Source organism: Homo sapiens, chromosome 9 (assembly GCF_000001405.40).
Source record: "Homo sapiens chromosome 9, GRCh38.p14 Primary Assembly".
In the NCBI taxonomy this organism is placed as follows: Eukaryota; Metazoa; Chordata; class Mammalia; order Primates; family Hominidae; genus Homo; species Homo sapiens.
The window spans coordinates 136920109-136934992 of record NC_000009.12 but is presented as its reverse complement, the minus strand read 5'-3'; the positions used below and the strand labels follow the sequence as shown (position 1 = coordinate 136934992).

At 52.2% G+C, this 14884-nt stretch overlaps 1 protein-coding gene across 5 annotated transcripts in view; it reads right to left on the bottom strand.

The window, feature by feature from the left end:
- Positions 1 to 8385: 8385 nt before the first annotated feature.
- Positions 8386 to 14884, bottom strand: part of TRAF2 (TNF receptor associated factor 2) — a 44650-nt gene continuing 38151 nt past the window's right edge. For all 5 annotated transcript variants that reach the window (XM_011518976.4, XM_011518977.3, NM_021138.4 and 2 more), the window contains 4 exons: positions 14478 to 14759; positions 13778 to 13955; positions 10993 to 11141; positions 8386 to 9310 (listed from right to left, as the gene is read on the bottom strand). In XM_011518976.4, the coding sequence (XP_011517278.1) occupies positions 9092 to 9310; positions 10993 to 11141; positions 13778 to 13955; positions 14478 to 14759 (828 nt within the window). In that variant the 3' untranslated portion in view covers positions 8386 to 9091. The remainder of the gene's footprint in view (positions 9311 to 10992; positions 11142 to 13777; positions 13956 to 14477; positions 14760 to 14884) is intronic.

Below are 14884 nucleotides of genomic sequence, written 5' to 3'. Positions count from 1 at the left end.
CGAATCCCATCCACAAGTGTTGCACCCTCATGATCTAAAAAGTCCTGCCTCCAAGTACCATCACATTGGAGATTATGTTTCAACACAGGAAATTGGGTGGGGGGGGCACAAACATTGTCTTCTCTTAGTCTGTTTTTGCTGCTATAACCGAATACCTGAGACCAGATAATTTATAAGGAATAGAAATTTATTGGCTCACAGTTCTGGGGGCTGGGAAGTCCCAGAGTAAGGTGCCAGCGTCTGGTGCAATCCTTCTTGTTGTGTCACTGTGGAAGGTGGAAGGGCAAGAGAGGGCCAAGCTCATCTTATTATACCAGCACCAATTCCAGCCTATCTTCCCTCTGACCTAATCACCCTTTAAGGATCCCACCTCTTAACACTGTTACAATGACAATTAAATATTAACATGAGTTTGGGAGATAAAAACATTCAAACCGTAGCATTCCATCCCTGCCCCTACACCAATTCATGTTCTTTTCACATACAAAATATACTCATTCCATCCCAATGGCCCCATTCAAAAGTCCAAAGCCCAGAGTCTCGTCTAAATCAAACATGGGTGAGACTCAAGGCATGATTCATCCTGAGGCAACTTTCCCTCCACTATGAGCCTGTGAAATTAAACAAGTTACGTGCTTCCAAAATACAATGGTAGGGCAGGCATAGAACAGACATTTCCATTCCAAAGGGATAAATTATAAAGAGGAAAGGAATAACAGGCCTCAAAAGCATGTCCAAAGTCCAACAGGGAGAATACTACTAAATCCTAAGGCTTGAGAATCATCATCTTTGACTCCAAATCCTGCCTTCTGCACGCCGTGGGGTGCGGCTGGGTCCTCAGGCTCTTGGGAACCTCACCCCTAGAGCTTTGCTGGGCTCAGACCTCACACAACTCTCTTAGGTTGGAGTCTCGTGCCTTCAGCTCTCCCAGGCTGGCAATGAACACTAGAGGCTCTCCAGTTCTGGGGTCTCAGGGGTGGCCTTATCCCCAAGGCTCTACCACATATTGCCCTAGTGTGGGCTCTCTGCCATGGCTCTGGCCTGGAGACTTGTGACATCCTGTGTGACACCCAGTGGATGAAGCCATGTCCCCACAGCTCCTGCAAGGCTGCAGAATCGACACCACCAAGGCTTATGACTTGTACCTTCCCTGGGTCCACATGAGACAGGCTGGAGTGGCTTAGGGGGTCTGCACTGGAATGCAGACAGCCAAGACTTGGGGTGGCCCTGGCCAGCAGGCTCTAAGGTCCACACCCTACACCTCTCTTTTGACATATTTCCTTCCCAAAGGCCTTGGCACTCTGGGCCTGTGGTGGGAGGGGCAGCACCAGGAATCTGAAATGCCTCTGGGGCCATTTTCCCACTGTCCTGATGAGCAGCCTCTGGCTTCGTTCTGTCCATACTAAGTTGCTTGGCCACACACTTGGTCTGTTCTCCTAAAGACATCTTATTTACTCCCTAAATGGGCAGGCTGAAAATCCTTACGATCCCTATTCTTTCCTTGTTAATTATAAATTCCATCTTTAATTCATTTCTCTTCTCACATCTTACTCTCTGCAGTTAGAAGAAAACATGCCACACCCTGAGTATTTCTTCAGCCAGATATCCCAGTTCCTTCCACAAAGGAAGGACTGGGCATGGACACCGTTCAGCCACGTTCTCTGCCACTTTATAACTAGGATGGTCATTCCTCCAGTTTCTGACACCTTGTTCTTCATTTCTGTCTGAGATCTTACCAGAATGGCCTTCACTGTCCAGATTTCTACCAACATTCTGACCATGACCACTTTAAGTATTCTCAAAGAAGCTTCAGACTTTCCCTACAGTTCTCTTCTGAGCCCTCAACAAAATCACCCTTTACACTCCATGAATGGCATCTAAGCTTCTTCTCGCTCCTCCAAACTCTTCTGGCCTCTGCCTACTACCCAGTTCCAAAGCTGCTTCCACATTTTTCGAGCATTTGTGATGACAACAAACCCACTCCTGGTCTCGATTTTCTGCCCACAGCACCCTGATACCAAAAACCAGACAAAGACAATACAAAAGACAATTATAGACAAATGTCCTTCATGAACAGAGATGCAAAATCCTCAAAAAAAATTTAAATCAAATCCAGCAATATATAAAAGTGATAGTGCACCATAACCAGGTAGGGTTTATTCCAGGAATGCAAGGTTGGTCCAATATTTGAAGATCAACATAAGTCACCATATTAACTGTACAGGAGAAAAACCACATGAACATATCACTTGGTATAGAAAAAGCATCTTTTTTTTTTTTTTTTTGGAAGACAGTTTCCTTGTTGCCCAGGTTAGAGTGCAATGGCACGATCTCAGCTCACTGTCACCTCCGTCTCCCAGTTCAAGCAATTCTCCTGCCTCAGCCTCCCAAGTAGCTGGGATTACAGGAGTGCACCACCATGCCCAGCTAATTTTTGTTTTTAATAGAGATGGGTTTTCACCATGTTGGCCAAGCTGGTCTCAAACTCCTGACCTAAGGTGATCCGCCTGCCTCGGCCTCCCAAAGTGCTGGGATTATAGGCATGAGCCACCAAACCCAGCCATTGAAAAACATCTTGATAAAATGTCTAGTCATGATAAAAAAAAAAAAAAAAAACCCTAGAAGCAAACTAGAAGTAGAAGGGAACTTGCTCAACCTGATAAAACAGCATCACCAAAAATCCCCGTGGGTAACATGATACATAATTGTGAAAGCAAGAAAGCTTTCCCCAAGAGTGGGAATGAGGAAAGGCTATAGACTCTTACCATTACTATTCAACCTTATAAACGGGAAGTCAGCCAATGGAACAAGGCAAGCAAAAGAAATAAAAGGCATAGAGATTGAATAAAAAGAAATAAAACTGTCCTTATTAATGGATGACATATTGTTCACACATAAAATCCCCCCAAATCTATAAAAACAAACAAAATCCTAATCTCCTACAACCAGTAAGTGAATTCATCAAGGTTATGAGGTATAAGAACAACACATAAAAATCAGTTTTGTTTTTAAACACTGGAAATATACAGTCAGAAACCAAAATTCAAAAAACAACCTCTTACAACAGCTCAAGAAACAAAGTAAGCTGTGGGATAGGAAGCAATAAATAAGTAAAAGAAACACTGAAGCATAAACCTACTAAAACATGTACAAGATATGTATACTGGCTGGGTGTGGTGACTTTTATGCCCATAATCCCAGCACTTTGGAAGGCAGAGGTGGGTGAATCACTTGAGTCCAGGACACCAGCCCAGGCAACATGGCAAAACCCTATCTCTACAAAAAATACAAAAATTAGCCGGGCGTGGTGGCACACACTTGTAGTCCCAGCTACTTAGGAGGCTGAGGTGGGAAGATCCATTGAGCCCAGGAGGTCAAAGCCACAGTGAGCTGCGATCATGCCACTGCATTCCAGCCAGTTCAACATACATATGAAATACTACAAAACGCTGATAAAGAATAGAGATAGACTATGTTCATGGATTGTCTGACTCAACACAGATGTCAATTCTCCCCAAACTGATGTGTAGACTTAACGCAATTCCAATCAAAATCCCAGAATTTTTTTGTAGTTGACTGTGAAATATATATGTACTGTCAAACAAACAAAAATAGGGAAAACAATTCTGAAAAACAACAACTGGCTGGGCGTGGTGGCTAATGCCTGTAATCCCATCACTTTGGGAAGCTGAGGCAGGCGGATCACTTGAGCCCAGGAGTTTCAGGCCAGCCTGGACAACAGAGAGACCCTGTCTCCGGCTGGGTGCAGTGGCTCATGCCTGTAATCCCAGCACTCTGGGAGGTCGAGGTAGGCAGATCTGAGGTCAGAAGATCGAGACCATACTGGCCAACATGGTGAAACCCCGACTCTACTAAAAATACAAAAAAATTACCTGGGTGTGGTGGCATGCACCTGTAATCCCAAATACTTGGAAGGCTGGGGCAGGAGAATCGCTTGAACCAAGGAGTCAGAGGTTGCAGTGAGCCAAGATGGGTCACTGTACTCCAGTCTGGTGACAGAGCGAGAGTCTGTCTCAAAAAAAAAAAAAAAAAAAAAAAAAAAAAAAAAACTCTATCTCTACTAAAAATTTAAAAAATTAACCGAGTGTGGTGGTGTGCCTGTGGTCCCAGCTACTTGGGATGCTTGAGGTGGGAAGACCTGCTTGAGCCTGAGGTCTCGAGGGTGCAGTGAGGTAGGATTTGTACCACTGCACTCCAGCCTAGGCAACAGAACGAGACTGTGACTGTCTTTAAAAAAAAAAAAAAAAAAAAAAAAAAAAAAAGGGCAGGGCAGGGCAAACGAAAAAAAAGAGAAAAGAAAACGAAAAGAAAAAAGGAAGGAGGGAGGGAGGAAAAAGGAAAAAAAGAAAAAGAGAAACAAGAATAAAGTTTGGCCAGGTACAGTGACACATGCCTATAATCCCAGCACTTTGGGAGTCCAAGACAGGACAGTGTGAGACCAGGAGTCTGAGACCACCCTGGGCAACATAGTGATATTCTGTCTCTACAAAAATTAAAGAAAATAAGCTGAGCACGATGGTGTGAACCTGTAGTCGCAGCTACTTGGGAGGCCTAGGTGGGAGGATCACTGGAGCTCAGGGGTTTGAGGCTGCAGTGAGGTAGGACTGCGCCATTGCGCTCCAGCCTGGGTGACAGAGCAAGACCCTATATCTTAAAAAGAAATTAAAAAAGAATGCTGACAACACAAAGTGCCCACAAGGATGTGGAGCAGCGGGAACTGTGGCTCATGCTGGCATTCCACAACAGGCTACAGCTATTCTGGAAAGTGCTTGGCAGTTTCTTTTGAATTTAAAAATACACTTACTGTGTGATCCAGCAGCCCCACTGCTAACTACCTTAATGAAATAAAAACTTGCTCAACAACCTGTACACAAATGTTTATAGCAGCTCTATTCAGACCTGCAAAACATTAGAAACAACCCAAACACCCTTCAACAGGTGACGAGACAAACTGATCCATCCATAGAGCACTACTCCAAAAAAAACAAAAAAAAAAGAGAGAAAACAAATGCTGATGCACGCATCCTGATCAGTCTCAGCGGCGTTCTGCAGATCTCGCTGCTCCCAGCCACGCATTGTAGGACTCCATTATGGGACCTTCTTGGAAAGACATAACTACAGTGGTGGAGGACAGGTGTGTGGCTGCCACGGGTCGGGGTGGTGACTATGGGGAAAGTGGAACAGTCTTCTGAGATGGCAGGGCTCGCCTGTCTCCCAGGTATGGTGCTTACCCACATCTGCACAGGTGTGAACATCCATGGAATTGAATGTTCCATGAACAAAACAAAAGAACAAATCAATTTTACTACGTGAAATTTAAAAATGTTATTAGGGGCCAGGTGCAACACCTGCAATCCCAGCACTTTGGGAGGCTGAGGTGGGCAGATCACCTGAGGTCAGCAGTTCGAGACCAGCCTGGCCAACATGGTAAAGCCCTGTCTCTACTAAAAATACAAAAATTAGCCAGGCGTGGTGGCTCACAGCTGTAATCCCAGCTACTCAGGAAGCTGAGGCAGGAGAATTGCTTGAACCTGGGAGGCGGAGGCTGCAGTGAGCCGAGATTGTGCCATTGTATTCCAGCCAGGAAGACAGAACGAGATTCCGTCTCAAAAAAAAAAAAAAAAAAAAAAAACACTTCCTGAGGGAGATGTAAGGTGACACAAAAGTTCGGCAATTCCTCCAAGAGCTGAACAAGCGGCCCAGCAGCTCTACTCCTCGGTATAAATATTCAAGAGAAATGAAAACAAATACACGTCCCCATAAAAACTTGTTCACAAATGTTCACAGCAGCATTTTCAGAGTAGCCAAAAAGTAGAAACCACCCAAATGTCCAGCAACGGATGAATGGATAAATAAGGTGTGGTGCATCCATACAAGAGATTATTCAGCCATTAGAAGGAATGAAACTCCAATGCATGCTGCAACACACAGGAACCATGAAAATATCTTGCTGAGTAAAAGCAAAGGCCACATTCACATGAATGTCCTGAGTAGGCAAATCTATAGAGACAGAAGGTAGGTTTATGGCTGGCTGTCAGGGGCTGAGCGGGAGGGAACAGTGACTGCTAAGGGAAGGTTTCTCTGCAGGGTGATGAAATGTCCCAAAATTAGGTAGTGACGATGGTACCTCTGTGGGTTTGCACAGAGCCTGTCACTTCCCCAGAAGGCCATGAGGCGGCTGGGCCAGGCCTGCCCACGGGGCTGCTCCAGAGCATTTTGTCCCTCAAGGGCCTTGGTCTGCTTCGTGGGAGCCTCTTGGTGTGGCAGCCAGTGCCTAGGGAATTGTTCCGAGTGCAGACCTCTGCCCCTTCTGCAGCCTGGAGCCCGATGCTGCTCTCACTGCGTGGGGGGTGCGGTCCTCAGCTCTTCCCCAGGTTCTCCAGACCTCCATCTCCACTGCAGGGAGGTGAGGGCCAGGAGGACCATCCGGCTGCTCTGGCAAAGGACCTCCAAGGTAGCTGCTCTGCCCCGTCTTTCAGTTGATCCACTTTTAGACTCTGCTCCATGCCAGGGCCTCCCGGTGTGGCCAGCTTCCCCCTCAGCCCTCTTCTGCTCAGCAGCCACCCACCAACCCACTTCCCACCTTCCAAAATGGGTTCAAATCCTTTGTGGGATGTTGGCTTCTTCCCCATCTTTGTCCCTGGGGGAGGATTTTTTTTTGGTCCATTCCTCTCATTTCACAGTTCCATTTCGTTTTAAGTGAGAAGAGATGACCTCAATCAATCTGTTTTAACAAACTGCAGTGACCCAGCAAAACCTGTCACATACAAACAAATCCCCAAATATAGAAGCCCAGTATGTTAAAGACAAAACTTCACAATCATTAGACGAAAACATGACAGTGGTTTCCAGCCTCAGGGAAGGTCAGGATGTTCTGAGTCGGTCGGAAATAGCACCATTCATAAAGGATAAGATCAGCTGATCATGTGTAAGGCTTAAGCTTCTGCACATCAGGAGCAACAGAAACGCAGTTCAAAGACACAACCGAGAATCCGTAATCAGGAATATCAGGAACTCCTACCAACCAGCAGAATAAGACCCAGACCAACAACCAGAAGAAAAATGAGAAAAAGACATCAACAGGCAATTCGCACGGGAGAGAATCCAAGGGAGAGGTAAGCGTGGTAAAGACGCCTGACTCCGCCGAGTCATCAGAGAAACGCACGTGACAGCGATGCCACTTCACTTCACACACAGCACGCTGCAGCATCTCAATTCCAACAACACGAAGCACGGGCAGGGATGGGAGGGATGGGAGTGATGGGAACCCTCCCCCTGGTGCTGGTGGAAGGACCGGATGCAGCCCCTCTGCAAAGCAAGCTGGCAACTGCTAAAAAGGGGAGGCCTAGAAACCACCAACCCTCCTTCCAGGTTGACAGGAGACCCACGAGAGCAGGTCTGGCTATCTCCAGTCACCAAACCCTGAAGACACGGGAAGAGACTGGAAGGTGCTCTCTAGGGAACTCACACACGGCAGTCAGAATCCACCATGTAGAGTGCCCAGCACAAGATGCATTAAAAGTAGCCAGGCTGAGTCAAAAGCCCAGCTACCTGCAGCTGACCCAGTGGATGGTTTCTGCATTTTTAATGCAATATTCTTATTTGTGAATACAGAAACGTACAGATGCAAAATTCTAAAGCCCAAAGAGAACCGGAACGCCTCAATTCCCGCCACGTGGCCTGGGGAGCTGAGGTGAGGCCGGGAAAGGGAACAGCAGGGCTCTGCAATGCTTGCTCTTTAGGCCCAGTACACACTCACGGAACACAGACAATGCCCGTCGGTCAGCTCCGTGCCTGAGTTATTTTCTGTACTTTTCTGTGGTCAACTTCTCAAACTACAGCAGTGCGTGAAGACGTCGAGAGGGGACAGCACTTTATCCTGGACCCCGATACAGATGCCCAGTAGGTCCCAGCACGGCTGCCCTGACACCGAGTGTGAAGCCGTGCCTACGCCTGCCTGCACTGTCCCAAAAACACACCACAGGGGCGGTGCAGCCAGGACCCTCGGTGTGGCCAGGACCCCCCGGGTGCAGCCAGGATGCTCGGTGGAGCCTGTGCACAGAAAGGCAGGACCAGGGCTGGCTCATCCTCATTCTGCTCTCACAGGAGTCCCTGGGGAGGCCCAGGAGAGGAGATGGACAGGGAAGAACATTCCAGAAGAGGGAACAAGGCTCGAGAAGAGGGAGCTTACATCAGGTGAGGAACAGAGAACACAGCCTGGCTAGCTAGAGAAGCAGGCAGGGGCTAGGCACCCCGTGGGGAGGGGTCTGTGAGAGGAGAGGCCAGGAGGACCCGCAGAGGGTCACCACTGCCAAGGCTGGAAGCCGCAGGCAACCTGGAATCAAATGGATGCCACTGACCACAGAGATTTGAATGGTTTAATAACTCTGTCTTCGTGAGCTGGATGGCAAGCTCTCACACTTTACCCGCAGGCTGTGCTGTGCACCTCCCACACAGTGGTCTGAGCAGAGGCGGCGTGGGACCAGACCCTCTCCCACAGCCAGCCTGGCCAAGGTGGCACAGACCAGAGCTCTGTGCAGACAAGCACCCAGGGGTCTAGGAATGCTCCCTTCTCTCCAGGGGCCAGAGGGGAGAACCAAGCTGCTCAGCCTTCCTTGCTCTGGCCAGCAGGAGGCCCTTCTCCTGGAGCAGCCCTCGTTTCTGCCTGTCATGCCCGAGGGACACAAGGCCATCCACTGTGCTCCTGCTACATGGGCACTGCTGGGATGTGCTCCCACTCTGAGTGTCCCCCACCCAGGGCCTCTCCCTTCACTGCACAGGACAGCAAGGGCAGCTTGTGCTGGGAAGCACCCGAAGACCCTCGGCCAATGCCACCACAGCCCTTGGCTAAGACCGTCTGCCAAGCCCCTCCGCAGTCTCTGAAATCTGAGGACTGGCTGGTGGCTCCTTCCCCCGTGACAGTGAACTTGGCTGCAGGCCGACACCCTCCCAAGCGCCCAAGCGCGGCCCCTGCCCACTTGTACAGTGAGACCCTGGCCCAGCGTGGTGGCCCCTCCGTGAGCCGGCTGTGCCTGGCTGCCCCCAACCCCCAGACACCAGTAGGGGGCAGTTAGAGCCCTGTCAGGTCCACAATGGCCTTGATGAAGATGGCATCGTCCCGCACGTAGGAATTCTTTGCCTCCATCTTGGAGACGGGGCAGAAGAGGGGGCAGCCGCTTGCGATGTTCATGTCGTTGACTGGCCTCTGAAAAGAGGATGAAGTCACGTCGGGCCTGAAGGCGTCAATCACGTGCTCCCGGTTATTCTGGTCGAGCAGCATTAAGGTCACCTGGAGGAGAGAGCCCCAGGGAGGGGACACAGGTCTGTGGGCCGTCTCTCTCTGGCTCCCGAGGGTCTGGACACTGGCAGGGCCACCAGCAGGAGGCCATCCCAGGACCCAGGCCAGAGGCTGAGGCCCAGCCGAGACCACGTGGTGGGCGGCCTTGCTCCTGCCACAGCGCCCGGGCTCCCCAGCCCTCCCCAGCCACCGGCATTCCGCTTCTCTCTGGGGAATCTGTGTCCATTCTGGCCTTTCCTGTCCACTGACATCTGGAGTCCTAGACTAAAGCTTACCACTCCTGAACTTGAATTATTATTAGGAAAATGCAAAAAATAACACATCTGGCAAAGACATTTTCTTGCCAAAGAGATCATGAAGCACCCACTGCCCACTCGTGAAGAGCACTTTTCAGGGAGAACCTGAGTCTGCCTCTGTCAGGACTGTGAACCTGGATGCCCCAGGACAGACAAGGGCCTGTGGGCCCTCCACACCCCCTCCCCCACCCAACTCTGCTCTGCCTACTCCACTAGCTATAGGGGGTGGGGGAAGTAGCAAGTCTGGGCCAACTGTGGCAAAAGGAAGGGACCTTCTCTCATTCCAGTCTAGTCTCTGCATCTTCAATTCCACAAAATAATAGATTCTGATTTTCAAAATAGGCCAGGCACAGTGGCTCACGCCTACAATCCCAGCACTTTGGGAGGCCAAGGTGGGCGGATCACAAGGTCAGGAGATCAAGACCAGCCTGGCCAACATGGAGAAACCCCATCTCTACTAAAAATACAAAAATTAGCTGGGCGTGGTGGTGCATGCCTGTAGTCCCAGCTACTCAGGAGGCTGAGGCAGGAGAATCGCTTGAACCCAGGAGGGGAGGTTGCAGTGAGCCGAGATCATGCCACTGCACTCCAGCCTGGGCGACAGAGCAAGACTCCGTCTTAACAATAAGTAAATAAATAAATGACACCTCCGACGAAGAGGGCTCCGAAGCTGTGTTCCTTCCTCTGCACTCTCTCTCCAGGGCAGGGTTTTCAAACTACTGGTCCAGATGCCCATCAACATCTGGAGTCCTGGGCTAAAGCTGGGCACCCCCAAACTTGCATTATTTTGTGCTTTGTCCTTTTGTTCATTTATTTAGAGCCCCCTCTTGCTCTGTTGCCCAGGCTGCAGTGCAGTAGCGTGATCTCGGCTCACTGCAGCCTCAACCTACTGGGCTCAAGCAATGCTCCTGCCTTAGCCTCCCGAATAGCTGGGAATACAGGTGCACACCACCATGCCCGGCTAATTTTTCTATTTTTTTTGTAGACATGGGTTCTCACTATGTTGCCCAGGCTGATCTCAAACTCCTGGGTTCAAGCAATCCTCCCACCTCAGCCTCCCAAAGTGCTGGGATCACAGGGATACATACTCCCCGCCCACTCGGCCTTGTGCTTTTTCTTAGTCATATTTATATTTATCTGACAGGTCAGGAAGCCAGGTGCTTGTGTCACGGACCAGTGCTCAGAAATCATGGAAACAACAAACTGCCAGAGCTCTCCACCGCGTGACACAGCATCACAGGGTGACGTGCCTGCTGCAGACACCTGGTCCAGCGAGCCCAAGCCACCTTGTCCCGCACAACCCTGCACCACAGAAGCTGCACTGCCCAGAGGGACTCCCAGGTGCGGCCCTAGCGAAGCCTGCAGGGACGGCCTCACCTTCTGGTTGAAGGGCCACCGCAGCAGGGCGTCATTCGGGCCCTTCATCACCACAAAGAAGAGGGACAGGTGTGTTCCTCGCCCGGTGCCGTCGCCGTTCAGGTAGATACGCAGACACATCTTGTAGCCGTACCTGCTGGTGTAGAAGGCTGGGGAGGCAGGAGGGGTGCCTGGTGAGCTGACACTCAGCAAGGGCGGGGCAGGGCTCTTCCTGCCTGGCTGCCCTCCCCCAGGGACAAAAACACCTACAAAGAAACATTCAGGTTCTGGGGTGCAAAGAAAAGTTTTTTTTCCCTCAAACTATGCAGTTAGTTTCCAATGAAAACAAATTTCATTACAAAAAAAAAGGTAGTACTTAGAAAAAGTTTTTTTTTTTTTTTTTTTTTTTTTGAGATGGAGTCTCACTCTTGTTGCCCAGGCTGAGTGCAGTGGCGCAATCTCAGCTCACTGCAACCTCCACCTCCTGGGATCAAGCGATTCTCCTGCCTCAGCCTCCTGAGTAGCTGAGATTACAGACGCTCGACACCACACCTGGCTAATTTTTGTATTTTTAGTAGAGATGGGGTTTTACCATGTTGGCCAGGATGGTCTCAAACTCCTGCCCTCAGGCGATCCACACGTGTTGGCCTCACAAAGTGCTGGGATTACAGGTGTGAGCCACTGTGCCCAGCCAGAAAAAGCATTTCTAAGAATCCCAAATGTAACCCCCAAAACTTAAGAAGATGAGCAGAGCCACATGGCGAGATCCACTAAATGCAGTGGTTGGGACCTCGGCAGAGCCACAGAGGGAGCCCTGACCGGCCCAGGGCTTAGGTTGGGCCCCAAGCCTGCCTCAGAAGAGGCACTGGCTAGAGTGAACCCCAAAACAAGAAGAGTCGACTTCCTTCCCACCCAACAAGACACAGACGTGAGTGACAGCCAGAACCCGGCAGAGGCTGCTTTCCAAGTCACATGACAGAACACTGTGTGCAAAGGTCTGCACGCAGGGACCCCACTGTGGCAGCACCAGGACCACCCTTCCGTCCTCGTCCTCCACCGCGTGCCCCCAGGCCCATCCTCCCCATCCTCGTCCTCCACCGCGTGCCCCCAAGCCCATCCTCCCTGTCCTAGTCCTCTCCACCTCGTGCCCCCAGGCCCATCCTCCCCATCCTCGTCCTCCACCACGTGCCCCCAGACCCATCCTCCCCATCCTCGTCCTCCACATGCCCCCAGGCCCATCCTCCCCCCGTCCTAGTCCTCCACCACATGCCCAGGCCCATCCTCCCCGTCCCCGTCCTCCACCACGTGCCCAGGCCCATCCTCCCCATCCCTGTCCTCCACACGCCCCCAGGCCCATCCTCCCCATCCTCGTCCTCCACCGTGCCCCCAGGCCCATCCTCCCCATCCTCGTCCTCCACCGTGCCCCCAGGCCCATTCTGCCTGTCCTCAGCCTGCACGCGTGCCGCACACAAGCTGTGTTCACCAGCATTGCTTAAAGCAGATGTTCCACACAAACAGGTCCTCTTGCCTGAGTGCAGCTCCCAAGAAGACCACCTCCGTGGCAGGGCCTCCACAATGCTGACCCTTCACCCAACGCTTAGTGCAGAGCTCCCAGCATATACAATCGGCTGAGCCAGCAGCTGCAGAGGGAAGGTCGCCACCAGAAAGCAGTGCTGACTTTCCCAGCCCTGGAGGAACAGGGCCATGCCCTGCAGGCTGCCCAGACTGTTCCCTCAAGTTTCCCCTAAAACAATCTTTCATTTTTCCAGTCTCAACTCAGAGAAGAAAGAGTGTGAGTTTTGTTTCTGGTCCCTGCTGAAGGCCTTGGCAGCAGGCACCACACAATGTGGCGGCCCCTCCAGATGACGCTTGGGTCTCTTTCCGCCTCGAGGGCGCCAGAGCACAGGACTGCCATGGCCCCCAGTGCTGAGTTTCACGAGCAGTGCCAGGCTAAATTCAAACAGGAAAGGTGCCTACAGCATCTCGGCCTTGATCCTAGAACCTAAGATTCTATCAGCAGGTTCACCAACTCAGCCTAAAAATAAAGTCTGCACGAGGGCGTGTTCTGAGCCATGGCAACAAAGCCCAAGAAGGGAGTGACTGAGTTGGGGCCGAGATGATGGCTGGGGCCGCCACAAGGTCAGCCAGGGCCTCGAGGGACAGCAGGGGGGCCGCCTCTGGACTGCAGCGCCCAGAAGCACAGTCCTGGCAGGAGCCTGCAGCTGGGCAGCCACCACCCCACCCCCTCTCCAGCAGTGCCCTCCAGGGGAGACCCCACGAGCACCCTCTCAAGAGACCCCATAGTTGGGGTTTAAAAAAAAAAAAGGTGGGGGAGTGTGAGAAACACCCTCCCTGAGCTCCGTGTGGAAAATGAACCTGGGAGGGATCAGACTAGCTCAGCTCCAAGGCCCTGAGAGCCATGTCCCACCCCCACAGCCACCCCCACCCGCCCTGTCTTCCTGGGAGCTGTGATCAGGCAGGAGAGCCTGTTGATGTAATGTCTGCTTTAGGGCTGTGTGCCAGAGGACCAGGCTGTGGGTGACGAGGGGCACACCTCGAGGGCTGGCACGGCAGGAGGGCAGCCGGCCCAACCCCCCTACCCCGACCCCTGCCCGAGGGCACCCACCGGCCAGCCCATATTCAGCTACCCCACTTGCCACTCAGGGAGGTGTAGCTGCTCCCGGTATCACTGGGGGTCGTATCCCAGCCCCACCCTTGGGAGCCATCCTATGTGGTCACAGGGGTGAGGGGACCCAGGTGCCAAGTAAACAGCAGCTGCAGTGAGGTGGGGGTCCTAGAACCACACCTGGGGAGAAGATGGCGGGTATGCGGCCAGCCACAGCTTCCTGGCGCTTCCTGGCGAAGTCTGAGATCTTCCAGATGAAGACCCCATCGTAGGTGGATGCCTCCATCTCCAAGACCTTCTGCTCCAAGTCAGCCATCGCCAGGTCCTTGAGGCCAATGCTCCTCTCCAGCTGCTGCACCTGCCGGGTGCCAAGACCACCTTCCCTCTTACAGGAGGGGTGCGGGCACGAGCCCCTGCCTCCCACACCCACCGATCTCCAGCAGGACAGTGCTCTTGGGCACCCCTGGGCTCCATGTTTCTCATGTCCACTCCCTGCACACAAGAACCCAACCCCACCCTCGCCAAGAGGTGGTGGCTCCAAGTCCACACAGAAGCTCCGGGCCAGCAAGCGTGCTCAGAAGCCACACCAGGCCATGCACATCCCCATCCATGGCTGACTCTGCCCTCCCATCAGAGAGAAGAGGCTCCTGCCCACGGCCTGGCCTCTAGGACCTTCCAGGGTTTGGGCCCCTTAGATGACAGGACTCAGAAATGAAGGGGGCCAGAGCCTCCCCTAAACCACACTGGACTGGGGTTTGCAGATGGAGTTCTACATTGTCCGGGCTCTAAAGCTCCAGGACCTGCTAGAACCTGCTGGGGCACGAACACTATCCCCCTTTACACTGTCCTCCTCATGGCTGGCCACCCGGCAGGCACAAACCTTGCTACTCAGGGCTTCAATCTTGTCTTGGTCCAGCCGGTGCTGCCGGCTGCAGGCCTCGGCAGTCATGGCCACCCTCTCCACCTCCCGGTTCAGGACGCAGACAATGTTCTCAAAAGTGGCCGTCTTCTTCTCCAGGCTCTCGCACCTCTGCAGGAGCTCTGACCCCGCGTGGCTCTGGTCTCCCAAGAGGGGCTTTGCCTCCAGCACCGAGCTCAGTAGCATGGCCAGGTGCTCCCGCAGCCACTGCACCTCGTGCTCCTGCTGTTTCTCACCCTCTACCTGCGGACACAGGGCAGGGAGGCTGCTGGCTCCATCCACCATTCGGCTCCCACCCGGGGACGGCCACCAAGACGTGGGCCTCAGCTGAGCTGAGGAGACAGGCCAGGGTCATAGATAGGGATGCC